At 43.7% G+C, this 23,306-nt stretch overlaps 1 protein-coding gene across 23 annotated transcripts in view, besides 1 other annotated feature; it reads left to right on the plus strand.

Moving 5' to 3' along the window:
* The window catches only part of MGAT5 (alpha-1,6-mannosylglycoprotein 6-beta-N-acetylglucosaminyltransferase), a 334,687-nt gene that overhangs the window by 237,759 nt on the left and 73,622 nt on the right, over nt 1-23,306 (plus strand). For 21 of the 23 annotated variants that reach the window (XM_006712534.4, XM_047444397.1, XM_047444400.1 and 18 more), the window contains one exon: nt 4,582-4,715. In XM_006712534.4, the coding sequence (XP_006712597.1) occupies nt 4,582-4,715 (134 nt within the window). Of the gene's footprint in view, nt 1-4,581; nt 4,716-17,402; nt 17,705-23,306 lie in introns of those variants that run through there. The other 2 variants (XM_047444406.1, XM_017004149.2) reach the window with 1 other exon arrangement.
* Nucleotides 14,670-15,174: an enhancer, noted in NCBI's record as "NANOG-H3K27ac-H3K4me1 hESC enhancer chr2:135129934-135130438 (GRCh37/hg19 assembly coordinates)". NCBI's record gives its function as "activates a minimal SCP1, AML or CMV promoter by ChIP-STARR-seq in naive H9 embryonic stem cells {active_cell/tissue: H9 hESC(naive)}" and the evidence as "EXISTENCE:reporter gene assay evidence [ECO:0000049][PMID:30033119]".

Consider the following 23,306-nt stretch of genomic DNA (forward strand, 5'->3'; position numbering starts at 1 on the left):
GAGTGTTACTCTTCTAAGGAGTCCATTCCCTCTTAAATTGCTTTTTGACACTTGAAAATTTTACCCTGAGGTGCCTTTTGTCAACAATTTAGGCGCTCATCTTCTCAGCTCAACTTATATTACAGTTTCCCTAGCCTGCATCCCAGCCTTCTCTCTTGAAGAAACTAGTATCACCACCATTTGGAAAAAAAAAAAAATCAGTTTTTGTAAAATTTGAAGCATAACATTACTATGTATAGTTTTTTAATCCAGATTTCTTGTGTGACATAACTATTTTTCAATGAATTTTTTTCTACCGTCGGTTTTATCAGGATCAGCAAAAACGGCATGAATATGATGACAATCAGTATTCTTCTTCAGTATTTTAAATGATGTTTTCAGCCATACAAAAAAATAGAAGAAATGTTACTAGAAACCCACAAATCTAGATTCTACAATTAACCATTTACTGTATCAATCTATATGCCCCAGTCCTCTCTCTATCCATCACTCCACCTTTTTTTTTTTTTGGATGCATAAAAGAACTCTCTGATGCTTCAGCTTCACATCATTAACTATAATTCAATATTTTGAGGGGAAAAATGATCCACAAGCTTAGAAAAAAAGTCCAGTAATAGTGGTTATTTCTAGGTGATGAAAATGTAACTTATTTTTTCTCATATCTTTATTATCTGAAAAAAGTTTTAATCTGAGGATATATTTCTGTTATAATGAGGAAAACCAATAAATCCATTTGTATTTAGGAAAAGGAAAAGCGTGTTTATTGCAGAAGTCTTAGCAAAAAGTGAGAAGGCCTGGACTCACAAATACAAAAAGGAAAGGATGAGTTGATGGATTTTTGAGAAACTAATATCCCTGGGACTACACCGACTGTGAGGGCTAAGGAATGGGCCCAGGCTGGCGCTGGGGTTTCTTCTCTTGGTGACCAGGAGATGTGAAGATACATTACATTCTTAGAGATGTTTGGGACTTACTGGTAGAAAAAACAGACCTCAGAGATTTATGCAGTTGAAAGAAAGGTCAACTCGACTTAGTATGCATTTTGAATTATAGTTTAAAAGATGATATTATGACTGCTTGGTAGATATAGTGTATGCTTCATTTATTAAGTAGCTGGTAAGCTCCTTGAGGGCAGAAACTCATCTTTATATTGTAGTTTGTCAATACTTATCATATAAGCTGGTTTGTAGAAATGCTCCAAAACATTTGTCATTGAGTGAATTATTCAAGCTAAGCTAATAGTATTTCTTAGAAGTAGTTATCATCATACTCTGCTCAGGGACCACATCAAGCTGATTTGTAATCATTTGTAAATAGGTGCTTCCAAAGTGCTTAAAATAGTGTTTCTCTTAATAAGAGACATTTTGTTCTAAATTGTCTTAAAATCATTGCTAATGTTTGGCAAATCTCCTGCAGTTTTTTAGCATGTGAAAAAATCTGTGTGGTCCCACATACATATGGCACAAGATACTCAAGAAACTGAGGTGACATTGCGTATGTATTCTAGATCACTCTTGTGTATTTTGCTCTACCTTAGAACATTATTTTCCTCTGAAGCATGGTTTACCACTGCTGTTCACAGGGTCCAGAAAATTATTTGGACTATGAGGCTGTGTATTAGAGTGACTTAAGGAGCTGATGCCCTGAAAGCAGCCAATCTGGCTCTGAATCCCAGTGTTGCCATTTCCTAGCATGTAGACTTGGGTAGTTAAACCAAAACTCTGTTTTCTTATCTGTACAAACATGTTACACGGTTATGAGGTTAAAATGGAAGAGTCACTATAATGCGCTTAGCACAGAACTTGGCATGTAGTCAGAACTCAAAATACCAGCCATCCTTTTTAAAAATCACATTTGTTTATCTTCTGGGATGGAGGGATTACTAAAAGTACAGGATTTCCTGCATCCCGTTTATGATGAGATTTGTTTGATTTACCTTAAAATGTAAATACCTTCTCTTTGAAACCCTCCCAACACAATGAAAGTCTCTGTTCCCTTCCTAAGGCAGAGCAAAAAAGAAAGGTTGGCCTGAAGTTTGAACTCAATGAAATGAACATTTCAGATAACATCCTCCTGGACTTGTGGCTTTTGATTTATTATAAGCACCATTAAGAACACTTGTGATAAGACCAGGGCGCTCTCGGCAGATGTTACCGGGTGGGCTCCAGCTGGTGTTCAGATCCTTGGAAGCAAGCCACACTGGGCCGGTAGTTACTTCAGAATCACCTGCTGGGGCGAGTCATGGCTGAGCAAACCCTTATGTGGTCAAGGTTTAGTGTCCTGTGGCAAGTTTAGAGTCACCTGGGAGGCGAAGGCATGTAGAGGTCAGACCAGTGCTCAGGCCTTGGCTCATTAAACGTGGTGATACTGTTTGTAAATCTTAAGTCTCACCTGAGGTCCTTGAAACCACACTTGCAGGTTGTTGATCCCTAAGTTAACATTTCACAAGGTGAGACAGGAGTTAAAGTATTTGGATGAAAACGTAGAAGAGAGCTTAGATGTGAAATTCATAGTGTCAGAGTTAATTGAGTACCAAATTATAGTCATAGCAGCAAAAGCCCACCATTCCTCACAAGTTTTTCTGATATTTGCTTCTCCCTCTCACCAGTCAAGCTAGAAGCTAGGAGAATCTTTCACACAAAAATATGTTACATATATGTATTTTTTCATTTGGGGGGCTGAATCATTTTATTTTTTACTATATATTAGTATATTATAACATGAAATAAAACCCATTGTTTCACTTGCTGGATTATTTTTTAAGTGCCTACCTAGGGACTAAATAACTACATTTCAGAAGCAAGTATTTCAAAGCATCGTGCTTTAATCACCATGTAAATTTTCTGAAAATAAAAAAAATTTAAAAACACCTGATCCTGAAGTATAGTGTCAGGTTTGAGTTCAAAACTTTTAGAATTAACAAAAAATTTTAGAAATATTTTAAGCTGCATAATAACACTGAGAATGCACACAGGTTTTGTTCCTCTCCCCGCTAATCCTTGAAAATTCCCTATGCCCTCAGCTTCTCAAAAGGGGGGAGAAAAGCAACTATCGCCTCTTGTTGGCAGGAGAATTTATTCAGTAATTTACTTTCCAGCCAACTGCAGCCATTGCCATTGCCTCTGGGCACTGGTTCAAAAACGCAGAAATGAAATAACAGATTGGCCAGACTGAACACAACTCCCCAGCCACAACCCTGTTATCTCCTCATTCTGTCACCCCCATCAGGCAAAAGCCTGGGAAACGGAGGGTGACAACACAGTTTTTACATGGCTCGTGCATTTCCACAGCTCAGGGCTTCCTGCCACTGTCCCTTCTTCATTGTGTTCCCCTGCGTGCATGGCGGGCGACATTGGAGGCTGGGCATCGGAGTCCTAGGCCTGTGCTGCAGGCTGGCCTTTGCCCATCTGTCTGTCTGAAAGGATTTCTACGCTGCTACAAGCATGGGAAATGGCTCCTCAGTCCTAGCACAACCAGAACAAGATGAAGGGACCAGCTTCCTCTGTTTGTTGACCACCTATCTGTGAATGGATGTGGTGGACTTTTCAGAATCTTGTGTATATCTCAATCACCAGGAGGAATTTGGTTTCATGTTATTTATAGCTGTTCTATTCAGGTCAGAGCCAAGCAGAGCAGTTGCTTCATTTAATATCAGCCACACATGGGCTCTGCAGGCTCATCTCCTGAAAAACGGAGATTTCTCTTGACAGAATGAAGGTAGAGGAGAGGAGCATCTCTGTTTAATCTAGAGAGAATTATTTTCTGATTGTCACTTGCTGGTGAAATGCCTTTTAAAATTATAGGCACAAGATGCGGATGTTTGGAGAGGGTGTGGGGTTGCTGTCCCCCTTGGTCAAGCGTTAGAGAAGTTACAGAACCCAAATGAGAGAAATCCAAAATTTTCTCTTCCAGAATAGCCTACTCTGTAGACAGTATTCCTTTGCAGTGGTTGGATTTTTTTGAGTGGTTTGTGCCCCAGCAGGCTTTACCTTTTATTCTGTCTTCATTCCATGCACCTGTTCAATATAGACCCATAATTACATCTTTTATGAGTGAGTAATTCTTAGAGGAGATGAAAGGTTCTGAGGATTATTCATCACTTTGTCCCTCAACCTCCTGTTATGTAGCTGGGTGAAAAACACAGCTGGAGTCAGATTCAGTTATGTGGGGACTCTGCGCCTATTCAGAACTCCCAGTCAGCCCTGCCCCCTACAGATTTCTGGCCAGTAGGTGGTGAAACCTGGGTGAAAGCATTTCTGCTGGGAAATGGACAGTAGCCTTATTCTGAGGCAACAAGGAAGAGAGTACACAGCTTAATGATTTTCAGACAGATGTATTTTCCCCTAAAAAGCAGGTTTTGGTTCAGGTTAATCCATCCTAGAGAGAAGTATTCTTCATGACGGTTTTACTGGGAATGTGTGGGAGAGATGACAATCCCTCACCTCCCTCAGGTAAGAAAGAACAGGGTAAGATGAAAACAAACATTTTGTTATGGGTAAGATGGCCTGTGTTAAATATGTGATTGTTATTTCTTCTTGCTGATTGGACACTAACTGTCCTCTCCATTTCTTTGCACACCAGCTCATACCCCAGACAACAGCTTTCTGGGGTTTGTGGTTGAGCAGCACCTGAACTCCAGTGATATCCACCACATTAATGAAATCAAAAGGCAGAACCAGTCCCTTGTGTATGGCAAAGTGGATAGCTTCTGGAAGGTGAGTCAGTCTGTGCGTGTCTCTCTCTCTGAAAAGAAGCTTGTTGGGTAATTTAATTTAACTTTGATCCAGGGAATAATCAAGCCAAGTGCCCAGGGCTTAATGGGATCTACTTAGACATAAACAAGAATGTGCAAAGATTCAGTTGCTCAGCATTTGGGTTTCTAACCAAGGCTGTATGTACCTGCTCTTCTGATAGTGGCTGTACAACAGCCACCTTCACTCTCTGCATGTCAGAAGGGACACATTCTAGCTGCTTTTTCACACCTTGTACTTGCTTCTGAGAGCCAGGGCCCTCCAGGGGTTGAATATCTTTCTGGAGCAAGATACTGCACAGGGAGAAACTTTACCAAGGGAGTCTTTCCCTCTGCTTCTGGGAGGTAGTCTGTGGAGGTAGGCAGTTCCCTTTCCTGGGAAATGCAGTGGGCTTCACATCCTCTTGGCTATAGTCACTACTCACCTGACGTAGAAAGTAAATTCTTGCTGGGGCTGACTGTAGGCACTTTGTTCAGGGAGGTCTTGGCTGAAACAGCACTCTTGGCCACAGACCAAACCAAGTCCTCCAAAAGCATTGGGCCCCTTGGCCCTCCTGAGTTGATTTCCTGAGTACATTTGGGGAAAGTATAACAGGAGAGGAACCAGATTGGATGTGACCTGTTGACAGGTAATGCAGATCTTTTTATGTGGGAAGTCTGCCTCATTGGCCAAATGTCATAATTTTTTTTTGAGGAAATGTTTTTAGAAGATAGAAGTCTTCAGGATCTCACAACATGCCTCTTCCTAAATGTAAGAATTCATTGCTTTCTTGAATGATCACAGACTGTGGTCTCATGTTTCTTGCTAGCCAAGGAAGTTAGGAATCCTACAGCTGAGGGAGTACAGGTGATGTACAGGATAAAGAATTCCTTGGTACTGCTTTTCTGACCCTGTGTTCAGAAAAGGAAAAGCAGTGCCCTACCCCTCAGCTCTAAGGTACTAACTACACCAAAGGGATGATGAGATCAGCCCATCTCCAGGGAGGCAGATTTAATTCCAGACAACTCTTTGTCTTAAACAGCTAGACCTTTGTCTTTGTTTAGTACAGTAGTTCTCAACTGCAGACGATTTTATTTACCGATTCCCCTCTGCCCAGGGAACATCTGACAGTGTCTGGAGACAATTTTGGTTGTGATGTCTGGTCAGTGGTGCTACAAGCATGTAGTGGGTAGAGGCCAGGGATGCTGTACATGTCCTACAATGAATGGGATGGCCCCTGGCACAAAATACCAGTAATTCCAAAGGTGGAAAACCCTCGGCTGGTAAGAATGTTTCCTATGTATGTTATACCATACTTTGTTGCCTCAAGTAAAATGAAAGTCAGTCTAGATTGTAAATGGCTATCGAAGATGGTCCCATAAATTTGTGTTGCTTTCCTTGTATAAAAATGTGTCCTGTGTTGATAGTGCATTTTCCAGCTGACTTTCAGCCAAAGTTGGGTTAAAACAGGCATATTGGGTGTTCTCATGCTCAGCTTGTTTGTGAAATTAATGGTTTACGGCATTGGTTTTAGGAGGACTGTGGCTTTTAAAGAAAAGCCTCTGTATCTGCTTGAAGAAGATAGCTTGCATGTCCGTGTGGGCTTAATATTGAAATTATATCACTTTGTTTTGGGGCCAAGTGCAACCACCTCCTAGCACTCTCTGGCAACTTTTTCCCTTTCCCTAGAAAAACAAAACAATAAATTGGTTCTGAAAGATTTTGGTCACCTGTTTTAGATAAATTAATATTGCCACTAAAAGGGTGACTTTTCCATGCCAGTAGGAATTCCGAGGCCAGGTGCAGTGGTGCATGCCTGTAATCCCAGCCCTTTGGGAGGCTGAGGCGGGTGGATCACCTGAGGTCAGGAGTTTGCAACCAGCCTGACTAACATGGTGAAACCCTGTCTGTACTAAATACAAAACAATTAGCTAGGCGTGGTGGCAGGTGACTGTAATCCAAGCTACTTGGGAGGCTGAGACAGGAGAACCACTTGTACCTGGGAGGCGGATGTTGCAGTGAGCTGAGACCATGCCATTGCACTCCAGCCTGGGCAACAAGAGTGAAACTCTGTCTCAAAAAAAAAAGGAATCCCAAAACCATTAACCATGTTGCTCAAGTGATCTGGAGTGAGATTTAGAAATCCTTCCAGATTTTGAGGTGTGAAAACTCCATGGGTGCCCAAGCTTCTGTGTACCTGTGCTGTGCAGCACCTAAAGATTATAAAAGGTTGGGTTGCAGTGTGTCCACATTCATCTTTGCCTGAGTAATAACACCCAAAAATCCTGGGTGTTATTTCAATTTTATTACATCCAGCATTCTGTGCTGGAAAAAGCCCAAAAGATGAAAAATCCTATAAAGTTTTCACATGAATTCAGGACATCTTCTCCAACTCTAGAACACGGCACAGTATGTGAGAATTTAGTTTCTTTTTCCAAAGCTTGTGCGTCCTGGAGTATTTAGTGAATGCACACAGAAAACCAATGTGCCTTTTAAGTGAGATGTTACTCCAACCGCATTTCTAAAGTTACGTTCAACATAGGCTTTAGCTAGCAGGATGTTTTATCAGTCGTCTTCCCTATCTTGTTCTTGTGTCCCATTCCCCTCTCCCCTACCCAATCCCGATTCACCTCAGAGAGCTTCAGGAAGGGAAGTGGCACCTTTGTGTCCTGGGAGGTTTAGGATTGCAACTGGAGGATGTGGGAGGGCACAATTTGGACCAGATGACTTTGGAAGGTCTTCCTTCACCTCAGATTGTAGGACTTTAAATTCTGAAGATTCCTGCTGTGCCATAAATCCTGCTTCACTCTTCCCACCACCCTCCTTCTTGAGGGAATCTCCCTACTCACCTCGGCACTTAAGTGGGAAATGCAACCATGTAACTCCCTCCAATGTTGGCTGATTGGACCCTGGAGTTGTCCTCTGACCCAGTGCAGTCCAGCTTTTTGGTGGCTGGAACTGTAATTCTGGCTCAGAAAACTGAGCTGCATCAATGAGATTCTTCAGTTCATGTTGGAAAACAGAGTCACTGAGAGTGAGCCATGTTAACAGAAATCAAAAAAATGCGTCTGTGGCAGGAGGGCGAGGCGGAAGCCTTCCAGGAGTCCACATGATGAAGCAGGACCAATGTTGACAGGGAGAGGGTGCTGTTGAGAGGATAATGCATTCCTCCACAAGGAGAGGCACCACCCTGACAGAATTAGGGTGCAGTGGAGGGCCTGATAGAGTGGAAGACACAGATAGAACTCCTGCAGCCTGGAGAGAAAGAGAAAGTAGCTGCTGGAGTTTCTGGCAGCTTTCTTTTCCCAGATTATATATCCTTTCTCACACTCTGGTCTTGCAGTATCTAAGTACTCTGTTCCTATAGTCATATCAACATACTTACTAAAATACTAGATACTAAATGCCTATCAAGAAAAACAAGTGTATTAAATATACAAGCTAAGGAGGAGCGGGCTTGTCCTTTAATATCCTGTCCCCAGATTCATGACCAAGGTACTCAATGGTCTTGTCGTGATGTTATAGTACATGGTGGGGAGGTTGAGGTGGGGAGGGGAATCTTGCCGTCAGACTCCAGAATCCCAGGGGCATCAACTTAGGAACCACCTCTGCCCAAGCCCCTTAATATCAAATGAGACTACTAACAGCCTAATCCCAAATAGAAGTCTCTCTTCTTAACTCAGGAAGCTGCAGTTCTGGGTCCCTGATCTCTACCTCTGAGGCCATCTAATCATTCGCTCCTGCTAACACTAGAGATGTACCCAGAAGAACAGCAATCTGTCCAGTATGGTCAATTTCAAAATCCTTCTACATTCTTTTAAATAAAGTCATCAGAGAATGGAAAATTGGTCAACTTTGTAAAAAGAGATTTTTGAAATATGGGAATTGAAGTGTTAACTATATTACTTTAATTTCTGTGTTTCTTTAAAAATAGTATACTGAGCATAACTGAATCTTCAAGTGATGGTGCAGGGTTAGTATCTTATGTATTCATGATCCTACTATGATCTTAATACAAGATAATACATGATCGCCGCTAAGGTAAATGTCCTGGAGGCCTTTCTTTGACCACGTCAGGAGAACAAGAGTTGCCTCTGAATCACACATTGGGGTTCAGACTTGCAACTTAACCACATGTAAGGTGGTTGACTGTCCTGAGCCTCAGGTTCCTAGCCTGTAAAGTTGCGGCAGTAATAGCTGATGGCTTCTCAGCCTTACTAATGCACACATCACCTGAGGATCTTGTTAAAATGCAGACTCTGGTTCATACCTGGGATGAGACGGAGACTCTTTCTCACAAGCATCCAGGTGATACCGGTGGGCTGTTGGAAGAGCATGCTTTGAGCAGCAAGGTCTTAGGATAGGTGGGATTTGTACAATGTGTGGTACAAAGTAGCTGACCAATTCGCAAATAAATAACTCCTCTTTTCTATTTATCTTTGTCTTCCTGCTGCTTTTATCAGACTGCTGCCTGTCACTTTTTGCTACTGTAGGTGCCTAGTTCAGTCACCCTCATTCCTACTTTGATATTTGCAGACCTTGCTACTTCTAATCTCTGCCACTTAGCCCCAAGAGCCAGGTAAAGCTGTGGTGAGCAGTGGGCTCTGAGAGGAGGTGAGAGGCACAGTGTCTTCCTCGTGTCCTGCTGTCCTGGTTTATACATTCAGGTGCCCCTGGGCAGTGTGATCAGGAGCATAGACTTGGAGATAGATGGCTGGGTTCAAATCCTGACTGGGCCACCAGCTGCCTAAGGTTGGGTACATTACTTAGCTGGTGCACAGTAAGTCTAAATACATGTTTGCTGCTCTTACTAATATCATTATTGGGGCCAGATAGGAAATGCTGCAGTGGGAATTGGTGGGGATGTGAGCCAGGGAGTTCTATCCTATGAGGAAATGGAAAATATAAGCCTGTCCAAAGATACTCAAATTCTAATTCTTAGTCTATGTAAGTGGTTGGCGAACTCTAGACTGTGGACCAAATCTAGCCCAACATCTGTTTTTGTCAATTACATTTTACTGGAACATGGCCATGGCCATTCCTTGTCCATGGCTGCTTTTGCACTAAAATTATAGAGTTAGATAATTGTGGCAGACTGTGTGACCCACAAAGCCTTAAAATACTTACTCTCTGGCCTTTTCTGGGAAAAGTTTTCTGACCCCTGAATTATGCCACGTCCCAAGTAAACCAGCTCTCTCTCAGAACACATTGGCCAACAGTCCCTGGCATTGATCTCATCAGAGGTCTTTCAGGGTTCTTGATTGTATTCTTCTGTATGATTGAGGCTGGTGGATGGCCAATATGTGGAAAAGTGAAGTGTAACTTAACTGAAATCCTGATCACTCTAGAGATGGAGCTCCAGGCATTGAGCCTGGTACCTCTTTGTAGGCATTCAGCAAAAGCTAGTGCTTATTTAGTAACTAATGCATTGATAATAAAGGAGTCGTGAATCTGCACAGTGTTTCTGCTTCTTGGAGCCCTTCACAGCCATCATTTAAGGTGGTACAGGCTGATGCCTTTTAAGGAAGCAAGGGCAGCTATTATCTTCCTTAACCATCCTGGTGTGTAGATGAGGAGCTGGCTCAAGGAGGGGGAGTGACATGGCCAAGTCCTACAGCACATGACTGGCAAAGCCAGAACCAGGGTCAGGCTCTGACCTCTCCTCTTGGAGACTTGCCTTCCTGCTGCCAGTTGTTCCATGGAGCTGCTCCACTGCCACTACCCTGGAGGGAGTGAGTCTGTGGTTACAGCAGGATTCTAAAGCTAGGAAGGAAGGTCTCTCTGGGTGAGCTAAGTGTACAGCAGAAGCCCTGAGCAAATACTGGCATCACAGGTAAAATGTTGCTCCTGGCTGCCCACCGCAGGATCGCCAAGTCAGCGACAGCCTTGCAGCCAGTTCTGTAGAGTGAGTAAATAAGCCTGATATGAGCATTTCAAATAGTTTCCAGCTCCAGACCCTAGGGCCTGATGTGGTCCAGCCCTCGCCTGCCTTGGCAACAACCAAAGTCAACCAGTCTTAACTGAATTTGAAAAGTTCCTTTTTATCTAGACTTCAAAGACTTTGTGGTTTTAAAGCATCCCCTGAAATGACACATGATCCCTTTCCTATATGCCTGAGAAATCAGGCAGCAGAACTTTCAGAAATGTGATCCCACTTCCCCTGCTCCTGCCCTTTTCTACTTCATTCTCCATACAGCAGCAGCCAGAGTGATCTTTTCTAAAATGCAAACTGAATCGTGCTACTCCTTTGCTCAGACTCTCCAATGACTTCATTTCACACTTAGAACACCTTACATTTACAGTGAAATCCAGTCTGGGTAGTGTGTTTTAGCGAGGCTCTCTGCAAGCCAGCCACTCCTGCTCTGTACCTACTCCTCTCTGGCTCCTGGGCTGTAGCCACAAGGGTCCTGTGTGTCACCCATTCCACCAGGGGCCACCACCCTCCTTAATGGCTGCTGCCTGTCCTGCTCACCCCAACTGGAGCCGCCAAGACCACCCTGTTCCACACTTGTGCCCTCAGCCAGATGTCACCCCTCCCCCTCCCTAGCACAGCACCCTGTTTATTCCCTTTATATCATTTGATTCATCTTGTAATCATATAATTATCTTTTTTTGTCAATCTCTCTTCCTTACTAGACTATATGCTCTGTGAGAGTAGGAATTGCACCTGCTTTGCTTACCCAGCTGCCTGGCACGTGGTAGGCACTCGGAAACTACTTGATGACTGAATGAATCTCCCCTAAGTTTAGCTTAAATTACTGATTTATCTGTGGAACTTGGGATACAACTTGGAATGCCTTCTGCCTAGAACATTTCCCTGTGTTCTTTGCTGACCCCAGGGAGACCAGGAAGAGGGAGTCTGGTAGAAAAGGAACAGAGCTACACATGCAAATTCTACAGACCACATAGAGGCTTCAAAAGTTTTTCTAAACCTCTTGTGAGATTAGCAGGGAGATGGATGGGAACAAGATACTGCACAGGGAAATGGGAACCTGGCTCTGGGCCAGCTCTGCTGTCATATGATTGGGACAGGCCACTCCAGCCTCAGTTTCCTCACTTGCATAAATGAAGGTATTGGTTTAAAAAAAGAATGAATTATTATACACAACAACATAGATGACTTCAAAATAAGAGGAGCATTTATTCTGTTTGATTCTGTATATATTATACATATAAAACTCTAGAAAATGCAAACCAATCCATAGTGACCAAAAAGAGGTCATTGGTTACTTAGGGAGGGGAGAGGAGGAGAGATGGATATGTTTGCTGTCTTGGGTGTGGTGATAGCTTTATGGTTTTTACATTGTGTGTGTGTGTGTGTGTGTGTGTGTGTGAATGACAGACTTTTATGTGTTCCCATAAAGTCTAGAAATTTGCTATCTTATCCTTTACGGAAAAAATTTGATGACAACTGGATAAGATCAATCATTATTCACCTGTGTGTTTTCAGAGCCCTAGGGTCTGCTATTATAGGAGGTCAAGGAGCAGCCACACAGGATGGGCCCTGTCTCAACAGAGCAGTTCTAATATATCTGTGGCATAGATTTGGCTTTTGGCTTTCCAGTAAGATTTAACTGGGGAAAAGGGTGGTTAAAGTCTCAGACTAGGTGACTGCTGCATCTGAGATAGAATCCCATTCTGAAAACTATGTAATTATCTAGCTTGCTAATTTGGTTGACTTGGGCTTAGTTTAAATTAATGCAAAATTGGGAATGGGAGTCATTTGGAGAAATGCCATTTTATTTCATAGTAGGAATTAACTGCTCTTAGCTCATTGTTTTAATGAACCACCCAAGACCTTTGTAATTAAAGAATGTACTGAAACCCTTGAAAAGAACACATTTTTGTAAGTAGATTAAACCTTGTCATTCTGTTTTGTTCTTCAGGCTACTTAGCCAAGCTTCTCTGCCCAGATGATGTAGAGATAAATAAACCAGATAAATTTAAACCCACCCTAACTCAAATTGGCATATATTTTGAAATAACAAAGTTAGAATCAGTTTTGTTGGATTTACTGGAAAGTCTGATGTGATCATAGCCATTTGTTCTGGTTCCAACCAGAAGAACATTAAAAATTAGAAAATAATGTGTCTCCTGCTTATTTCCCCTGGGGTAAAAGTCAGAAAAGATCTTTTCATGATCCCTTGGAGATGGCGCTTGCCAGAGGCAGGGAGGAGTGTAGGCATCAGTGGAGATGGTGAGCCCCCAGGGGCAGCCACTCACCAAGCCATGGTTACCTGTGCCTGTTTTGTGCCTAGCACATGATAAAGGGCACTCACATCACAGAGCCTGTTCTCTAAATTCAAGGATAAGATTGGAATAGGCAAGGGAGGAACAGAGGAGAAATAAAATGCAAAGGGAAACATCAGAAATGAATCATTAGCTTTTAAGATTCCAAGAGCCATGATCCAGGAACCTTAAGGATTTATTTTAATGGGTGTTGGCTGCATGCTGACTATAACATAACCCCATGTGGCATCCCCTGTGTAAGCGTGTCAGTGTTTGCTAAGTGTATGTGAGTAGGAATAAGTGTGGAACTAGGAGCCCATGGGACCCGGGGGTAGCCTTACCCGATGTCATCACCCTACTGGTCCATTCCCTGTTTCAGCAAGCTTTATGCAATCGTCTTAGATCCATGAGGTTTCCTTGTCACACATTCTTCTTGTACCCATTTCAACCCAGAGACACTGATTGGACATGGTGTAGAGGAGTTGGAGGCGGCTTGGGTGGCAAAGGAGATGCCCGGATTCTCATTTCCGTTGAGCCATTTATTGGGTACGTGTCCTCTGAAGTCATTTGCCCTCTGGGTCTCACTTTCCTTATCTGGCAGCCCTCCCAGCAGCTTTCTGAAATCTGTGAGGTTTCAGAAGAAGCTTTTGAGTTGAATAACGAGTTCCACGTTCCAGGCCAAGTCATGCTTTCAGTCTCCTGTTTAAAAGTCTATCAAGTTTTGGGGCATAAGGGTGGGAGGAAAATAAAACCAAGGCCCCTTTGTCAGCATACAGCTTCAGTAGATACCCCAAATTCTTGAAATCTGTATAGCAGACTGCTGGTTTTTTCTCCTTGTCAGAGCCCAGCCCACTGACACTTTACAGTTGACAGCCCAGCCCAGATATGGGCCGCTGTGGCTTCTATCGAATCATGCTTGGGATTGCCACAGTTTTCTTCTTTGGATTGGGGCTTGAGGTGGTTGGGAAGAATGCATGCCAACCAGCCCTGCATCTGGGACTTGGAGCCTGTCAGCTCCCTGCTCTTTGATGATGGAATAGTCTGTGGACTTCTTCCCATTTGTGAGAGAAAACTCCCCCTTAGAACTCAACTGGTAGAGCTTCTCATAGCTTACAGTTCCAAGCAATAGCTTGGTTGTAGGTCCAGGCAGGACTCTGACATGGCCCTCTGGAATAGCATTGATGTGTTGGGTTCTTTGCTAAGATGATTTCCAGTCTGTGTTCCAGGGAGATTCAGGAAAGCTGAAGTTCATTCTTAGAACCTAGGTCTGTGTTTGTTGTTTTGTTTTGTTTAAAAAAAAAAAAAAAAACCTTGCCTGATCTTAAGTGCCAGCTGGGAACTTGTTCAGCATCCACATGCCAGGGCCTCTTGTCACCCTCATTTAGTTAGAATTTCCAGGGGAGGGACCAGGAAATCTGTATGCTCCAACAGGTGCTCCAAACAGGCAGGCTTGGGAAATGCTACACTAGGTAGCCACCCATTTTCCTTGTTCAGAAAAACCTTAATCTCTTCCTGTCCATGTGTGGTATATGGCTGCCATGTAGCCAGCAACCACATCAGGCTGTAGAAGACACTTGCTATTCCTTTGTTTTACCTCGGTTGCATCCAGTGCTCCGGGCCTTTGCTTCCCAGTACAGCTGATCAACCACACGGCTTCCAAGGACTTGCCCCCTTGTTTCCATGATAACAGCCAATCGCATAAATCCATGTGGGGTGCAAAACATGGTTATGGGTTTCAGTGATATATCTCTCAAGAATGCTTATCTTTTAACCCAGGAATGCAAATAAAAATTTGTATGAATTTTAGATCTCTTAAAGCACTGTCTCGTAGCCTCTTGAAGCATGTGTCTATTTTACAGGTGATAAAGCCTCAGAGACATTTAGAAGAAACAGTCCACCTTTAGGATAAGTCATACTCTTCTCAGTGTCCCTCCTTTCCTGTGACCTTTACACTGTAGAGCTAGAGCAGGCCACTCATGGTACAAATGTTTGAATGATGGATGATAGAATCTTAGGCCTTTGTCGAAGGTGGTTAGGGAGGTGTTCCAGAAGCCTGGGAATGGAGAGTAGTTTTCTTGGTGCCCCCGCATGAAAACCACTAGCCAGTTGCTTATTGCGTGGGTGGCTGGCAGCCCTCCCAGCAGCATAAACAGCTAAGTGCAAATCACTGCAGCTGTGAGAAGAAAACATACAAGACTGCTGTCCATGAAAAGAGGCCCTTGGTGCTCAGCAGAGGGTCTCCTGCGAACGCCAGGGCTGGCTTGGGAAGCTGGAGGCTCAGGCAGCCAGTGAACATCCTGAGGGTGGGGCACTTCTGGAAGGTTCCAAATCACTGCCTTCCTGCTCCAATAGTGCTGGGATGAGTTCATTTGTAGCTCTTAGTAAACACAGCTGTTGTGGTTGTAATTTGCCTGGAGGCTTTTTACTATTACTCCAACCCTAACAGTTTGGCAGCCGATATGGGAGCTGCGGTGTTGAGGGATGGGAAAAGAAGTTGCTATCTGAGAGCAAAGAGAGATGGGTGGCAGCTGCCCATGGACAGAAGCCACCAAGCAAGTGCAAGTGTGTGGAAGCTGTTCTCCATGGACAAGGAGGAGGCAGCGTCTCACATAGTGACCCAGGGGCCTTTGGTGCCCAGAAGATGAGCAGTACAGGGAGAGAAGTCAGAGGACCTGTGTGGAAGGCTGTTAGAAAAGCATTGCAAGATTGTTTCCCTCAAGTGAGGAAAGGGTTGACAGCGCGTTCTTGAAGGGAGACAGAACTGTAATGCCTCTGAATTTGAAACAGTCTGAAAGGCATGGTCTTCTGAATGTTATTGGGCACAGATTTATAAGAATGAGGTAATTGTGTTGATTATGCGATTTTCCACCTAAATAGAACCTTATTAAAATACAGCTTGTAGGAAAACAGAGTTTGGATTAGATTTCTAGGCATAGTCCATATTCTAAGAGCATGGTGACAAATTGAGGAGATAGACCTATACTGGTCCATCCCAGACAGCAGGTTGCTGGGCTGGCAGGAGATCGCCTCACTGTTCAATACTGAGATACCGGGGTGCTCCTTCCAGTGTTCCCACAGAGCTCCTCGTGGCATCTCAGCCCTCCTGAGGCAGTGCAGTCCAGGCATGGAGAGACAGTCAAGGGCACTGCCACCCTCCCAACTCGATGAAGCCTTCTCAGCTGGGGAAGGAGAACTGGGGGCTTCATTTGGTTCAAGGGTGAAAATCCCTGAGGTTGCTCCAGCTTCATCTTGGGAGAATAATGTTCATTCCTCGTCAACACTGCTAGAGGTTCAGACACACCAAAAATAGGATGCCTTGGAATGAGTTCTCTATGGTCCTTATCAACCATTGTTTAAAACATCAGCCAATGGAGCAAAATCACAGCAGTAGAAGGAAACAGAAGTGTGTGTAGATTTCTGCCTTTTACTTGGAGAGAAAAGCAAAGTTAGTTGTATGATTTTAAAATGGAGGTGGAGAAGCAAATCTTAAATCTGGGAAGGGTGGGGGATTCATATAAGCCAGTGGAATGCATTGGGCCAGTTGAAGGAAGTCTGACCTCTTTCCGGTGGCTGTTTACACATACACAAGTATATGAAGTGTTAGTATGGATTTGCACCTGGGGGCTTACCATGCCAGTTGGAATACTTAAATTTTTGATAGACGTGAAAATCATGAGATTTACCCTGTGGAACCTTCTACATCAGTGCAGATCCATGTCATAAACACCTTGAAACATAGGCCCTGCAAGAACAGAGCTTGTTGATGGAGTTTTATATAAAAAACACAGATTGGGAGCAGACTTTACAATGTGGAATATTTGTTGGAAGCAGATTTCAACCTTCAATTGCAAGAAAGGGTATTATGGCATTGAGAATCGGTGATAAACCAACTTAGAAATTATTTTTAATATATTTGCTTCTAAAGTCATGTTTAGCATCGATACACAATTCTTTACTTAAATAAAAATCATATATGCAGCATATGCTCAAAATCCAGCGGTGGCTGTGCAGCCCTCAGTACTGAACGAGTCCATCTGCAGTCAACATAATCAGGACTAGCCCGGGCACAGTGGCTCATGCCTGTAATCCCAGTACTTTGGAAGGCCGAGGTGGGCAGATCACTTGAGCCTAGGAGTCTGAGACCAGCCTGGGCAACCTGGCGAAACCCTATCTCTTCTAAAAATACATAAATTAACTGGGTGTGGTGATATGCTCCTGTGGTCCCAGCTACTCGGGAAGCTGAGGTGGGAGGATCGCTTCAGTCTGGGAGGTCAAGGCTGCAGTGAGCTGAGATAGTGCCACTGCACTGGATAAATCGAGACTCTTGCTCTAGTCTCGAGGGACAGCAGAGCTCCAGGGAACGCTGGAGTTATCCCTGCTCAGTTGTAATTTGTACTGCTGGCCAGCCTTTGATTCTCTCCCTCTTGATTCTGTTTTTGATAGATTGAGCTCCTTGAGGAGATGATAATGGCTGACATTTTAGTGCTTCCTGTGTTCCAGGCATGGCCTTCACAATGACTATGAAGTAAATACTATTATTAACCCCACTTTTGAGTGAAAGAACTGAAGCAGATAGAGGTAAAGGTTCCTCAGGTGGTCAGGATTTGAATTACATCATGTATTGTAGCCAACACACTGGACTACAAGGAATGGATTCTCTCTTGGTAATTTCCTCCTCTGTCTCCAACCCATCCTCTCAAATCCCAAAAGCCTAAATAAATACATTTATGTTGGTGTGGTACTGATTTCAAGGAAAGGTTCTGTACGGTTCTGTGTGGAAACCTGAAATCCACTATGCAGAGTAGTGAAACCGAAATGGGCTACAACTGTTTGCCTTTGTTCCAAAACAAGTGAAACAAAGCTTTATTCTAAAGATGAAATGTGTTGGTTTTCAGTTTTCACTGCATGTGATTCTTGTCATCCAGAACCAATTATTAGGAACTTACTTGCGTATCAGGACTTCAAAAGATATGTCTGCCTTTAGAGAGCTTGGAGAGCAGAAATACCGACTTGGTCAAGGGAAAAATGAGGGAAATTTTTAAATGAAGTTAAAAATTGGGTGGTAGAGCATATCTCTTGAGCCCAAATGGGCTTTAAGGGAAAAGGCAGGAGTGATTGTCCACATGTGGGTTGGGGGGATTTCATCTCACTTCCCTAATTATGTCAGAGCACATCTCGTCAACTGGAGAGGGCCCAGAAAGTCAGTAGTGCTGGCTTTCACCAAGTATTTTCATCTTCTTCCAGGCTGCTGGGGGTGTTTCATGACCACAGAGGTGAGAGTCAGTACAGGGCTGCCCCAGAGGGTCCTGCAGGTTGTCCCCAGGCACTCCAGAGAGTAACATTGCCACCATAAGGAATTAGTAGAGCAATGTACAGCCCTGTTGATCCAGACCAGTTAGTGATCTTCCAGGTTCTCAAGGCGTGCTAAGGTTTGGCCAGGCCTCCAGATGGTGCCAGCACACCGACAATGAATAATGAGGAGCTTCCCAACAACCCTATAAGGCAGCAGCACTGTCTGTGTTTTTCCAGGAGGAAACCAGGCTCTGGGAGATGTGGAATTTTAACCTATTGCCTAAGAGAGTCTTCACTGAAATACTCAATTCAAACGCTCCCTTTTCATTCTTTCTCTTTCTTTCCCTTTCTCCTTTTCTCCTTCTTCCCCTTCCCTCACTTCTCCTCCTTCCTCTTCCCTCCTTTTCTTTACCGTTTTTAAAATGGATATCATTTACTGGAGATACACACAATTTGTCCTAAATTGTCCTAAAGACAGTGTCTTTTTATTTTCTTATTCTTAATGATAACGTTTACTTCGAAGGAGTTGGCAAATGAATCATTTAAACCAGTGACAATGTAAGTAACAACTTGAAGGAGAAGCAGAAGTTTAACCACTTTCATGGACCGATCCCTCACTATTTGGACCAGATACTCATTCCTCCTCTGTGACCTCTAACCCCAGCATGCCTCCTGTCTGGAAGAGCCTTCCTTGCTGTTGGACCTAGGGGAGGAAAGAAATTATCCCTCATCCTCATGCAGTGGCTCAGTGGAAGCAGCTGAAACTAGCAGGCCAATCTTTATTTCTCAGCTGAGGCCAGAGACCAAAATATTGAATTAGCCTTGTTTATATTTTGTGACAGTGTGCTGGCTTCTGTAGGACCGTGATCCAAGGATAGGCCCCCTGAAAACGGTACTCATTTAGCAGCCAGGGTAGGTCTTCCTACCAGCACCATCCAAGATGGTAACTCAGTAGGCCCAGACAAATCCTACTCTGCCACTAACCATCTCCATGCTCTGCCCAGATCCTTTCACCTACCTAAACCATGTTTTTATCCTTAAAACGGTCTCACAGCACTTGTTCTTCCTAGCTCACATTGTTGACACAGGGATCAGACAAGAGACAGGTTTGAAAATTCTTTGCAAACTGTCACAAGCTAGTCAGCTATGTCTGGGAACCTGTTTGGATAAATTAAAAGTGTGCCCAGCTATAATTAGCAAAATACCTCACAACCATGAAGCAAGAGTTAACTTTTCTCATGTAACACAGTGTGGGGTATGGGGCTGGTTTCTTCACTGGATGTCTGCAAAGACCCAGGCCACTTTGGTCTCTCCTTTGGCATCCCTCATGCATTGGCTTGCCACCATAGCGTCACAAGGCCTGCAGGCCTCATAGCTGTGGTCTAAGCAGAAAGAAAGGTGAAGGGGCTGGAGCCTTTTCTCAAGAAATAGAAGCTTCTCCTAAAGCTTCCCTTCCTCTGATTCTTTCCCCCCATTATTTGACCTAGGTCACATGACCATTCTTGGCTGCAGAGGAGGCCAGGAAAGTTGGGTTGGGCCAATTGAGATTGGCTTATCAATCAGGATTCAATAGCTGTGTCCTCAAGAGTACATGATTCTAGTAACAAGGTAGAAAGGAAGAAAAATAAGTTTTATGACCACGGCTCCTTTACCTTCCGGTTTCTTTCTGTCAAAGTCACACAACACTTACATGGACAAAGGCAATGTAGGCAGTGGTCATAGAGATACAGGAGATAGTTTATGTCTTCCCAGGGCCCTGCTTTCCCCAGATGATGTGACTTGGTCTTTCAAAGGACTCCCACCATCAAAACTATTAACTCTTTTCATGTTGAGTACTTTTTCCTCACCTGTTTTTCCATTCCTGTTAGCCGGAGCAAAAGGGCCTCCAACTCCTCTTTTAGAGAGAAATGACTAATGCTCATACTAGCAGATACCAGACGTGTCCAAGGAGGTACCTTGGGCTTAATTCCAGCAGTTCTCAACAGAGTCCACGTGGCATATGCTATACCCAGCATACCTAGCCTCTTCTGCCAGCCCTGCTTAGAAGGCCTTCAAACACGTTGTTTCCTGGCCTTGGCGTGGAGGGTCAGCCAGTGTACCAGTTTTCAGTGGATTGATATTCAGCTCCAAATTCATCGTTTCTAATTGCTCAGTGAAAACGGATCTGGCCCCTGGAAGTATGTTTTCTTTGGAGCTGGCACTAAAGTGTTGTCAGTAGAAGGTGTGGAAAGATGCTACAGGAGGAAGTGTTTTATATCTGGTTCCCGGGAAACTTCTTCTACAGCATCAGGATCCTGCCGCCCCAGCACTAGAAGTGGGGAGGTGGAGACCGTATTGGGGAGCAGAATGTGTGAGCTCAGGACTTTGTGACTGGGAGGCAGAGCCCATAGCAGGGTTCTCATCTTTTATAATTCTTCTCTGTCTGTGCTTTACCTTCCCCAGGGTCAGATCTACTTGACAAGGCACTCAGGGGTAGAAGTGTCTATCAAACCCGAGAGGCAGAATACAGTTAAGAGCATGGGCTTTAGAGACAGACCGGAATTTGTTTCCAAGCTGTGCCATTTACTCTCTCTGTGCTCTTTTACTGGACATTTAACTAATCTAAGTCTCAGTGTTCTCGATCGTTAAATCAGAACACTAATCATATACAACTCACAGGGTTATCTGGATTACTTTTTTTTTTTTTTTTGAGACAGAATCTCACTCTGTCGCCCAGGCTTGTGTACAGTGGCATGATCTCGGCTCACTGCCACCTGTGACTCCCGGGTTCAAGTGATTCTCCTGCCTCAGCCTCCCTAGTAGCTGGGATAACAGGCGTGCACCACCATACCCAGCTAATTTTTGTATTTTTAATAGAGATGGGGTTTTGCCATGTTGGCCAGGCTGGTCTCAAACTCCTGACCTCAGGTGATGCACCTGCCTCAGTTTCCCAAAGTGCTGGGATCATAGGCATGAGCCATCGCGCCTGGCCTGGATTACCTGAAGTGATGATATGTGAGAGCATTCAGTGCAGTTCCTGGCACATAGTAATGATTATGTTGTGGCTGTGGTTGAGGCCCCCGGCTTTCAGTGGGTGATGGGACTGGATAATTTGAGTCCTTTCTACTCTAAATCCTCATGATAACATGGATGTCTCAGGCCTTCTGGCTTTTTCTCCCACTTTGTCTTCTCCCCTGTTCTTCCCCACCTTTTGCTTGTATCAGTTCTTTCTCCCTATGTCTACACTTTTGCTGTAATGAATTAACAGTTGTCTGATGAAACAGTTTCTAAATATTTTCTTAGTCCCTTGCAGAAACGTGTGTACTTTTGTTCTGCATATTTTATCATCTTGTGATGACTTGCTAGTATTCCCGTCTCCAAGATCAAATATTCCTTTCCAGCTTTGTTCTTTTAGGAATAAAATAAAGAAGTGTTATTGTGGCCAGTACCCAAAAGATAGGTGAGTCAGAGCTCAGGAATAGACACAGAGGTCTTAGTGTAAGCGATTTCTTGTCCTTGCTAGGAAACATCTGTAACTTCCAATGGCTTCCCTTTGCCAGCTGGATAAGGAGTTCAAAGAATTAAGTTTTAGGCAGGCACACCAGCAGATGGAGGCAGCCCGCCAGCACCTGCAAGCCCAGAGAAAGTGGTTCTGTGGGTGAGTGCTGCCTCTGATGGGACAGAGGTTTTTACCAGCGAGCGATCATGGCTGGACTGCAGGCGTTATGAGGGCAGGCACCCAGTGGTCTTACATTTGTATCCCTGGTGACTAGCTAGGCCTAGCCTCAGGAGGTACAAAATACATATTTCAAGAGAATAAAATGTGAACGTTTGGATGGAAGTCAGCCAGTCCTAGGAGCATGAAGTCTGTTTCATCCCCTCTTGATAAGAACTCTGGCATTTCTCATGGACAGGGACAAATCAAGTGGTTTGCATCTGAGAGCTGTGTTCTTGTGGCGAAAGGATTAGGCCATGGCTCTGCACTTGTTCTGATTCTGTCACTTGGCCTGTGGCCTTGGGCATATTTTAACTTGTGTCAACCCAGTTTTCTCACCTGTAAAACAAGAATGACATGAACAGTGCTTGGGTCATAGGGCTGTAGAGGTGAGATGACGCATGTCAAAAAGTGCATAGTATAGTGTCTGGCATGTAGTAAGTTCCCAAGAAAGGTTTGCTTGGAGATTCCTTTCCCTAAGACAAGGAGCGTGTTGTTCAGACTTAGAGATTTTTAGCACTAAGGGTTTAAGAGGTCATTTTCTGGTCCAGACTCTCCCCATCCTGAATTTCATATGTTAAACAGGCATAATACTTACCTCATGGGATTGTGGAAAGAAATAAGCTAGAAATACGCACGTGGCATAGTTTCTTCTGGAGCATAGTAAATATTCAAATGGTAGTTACTATCTTTTATTTGCACCACATACTTATTGCACTGAAGTTAGCCTTTTAACGGAAAACAGTGGTGTCAGTCTGGCCCAGCTTTATGCTGTTGTTAGAATGCAAGTGCACCCTTTCTGGCCTGTTGTGATGCAAGTGGAGTGGTTAAGAAAAAGGGACATGGATTATAGGCAGACCCTCTCCCTCTCCCCTTGCCACCCAGCCTTGCAGTCTTGGGCAAGCCACTTGTCTCTGTGAGCTTCCGTTTCTTCATCTGTTACCCGGCAGGTTCACTGTGAAGCTCTCATGAGAGAAGAGTATAAATACTGATACCATGTTGGAATGGTAGCCCTCATTTTTCTGATTATATCTTAATTTAGTATTACTTTCACTGTCCTGCTTATGGTCAGATATTGTCCTGTTTAGCTCTCTTATTTCTGCCCACCCAAGCCAAGTTGGTTATATTCAATTTGTAACTTAACAGAGCGCAAGAACCTGGTTTCATTCATTGACAGTACATACAACTGTAGAGCAGACACTGTTGTAAGGTTTGGTAATGAAAGAGTAAACACGTTGTATGCTTGCCTTTATGGATCTGATACTCTAAAGAGGAAAAAGAAGGTAATACACCATTAAATTCATACATAGTGCAGTGATATGTTCTATGAAAAATAAACGTAGAGAAACAGAATGACAGAA

Source organism: Homo sapiens, chromosome 2, assembly GCF_000001405.40.
Source record: "Homo sapiens chromosome 2, GRCh38.p14 Primary Assembly".
Taxonomy (NCBI): Eukaryota; Metazoa; Chordata; class Mammalia; order Primates; family Hominidae; genus Homo; species Homo sapiens.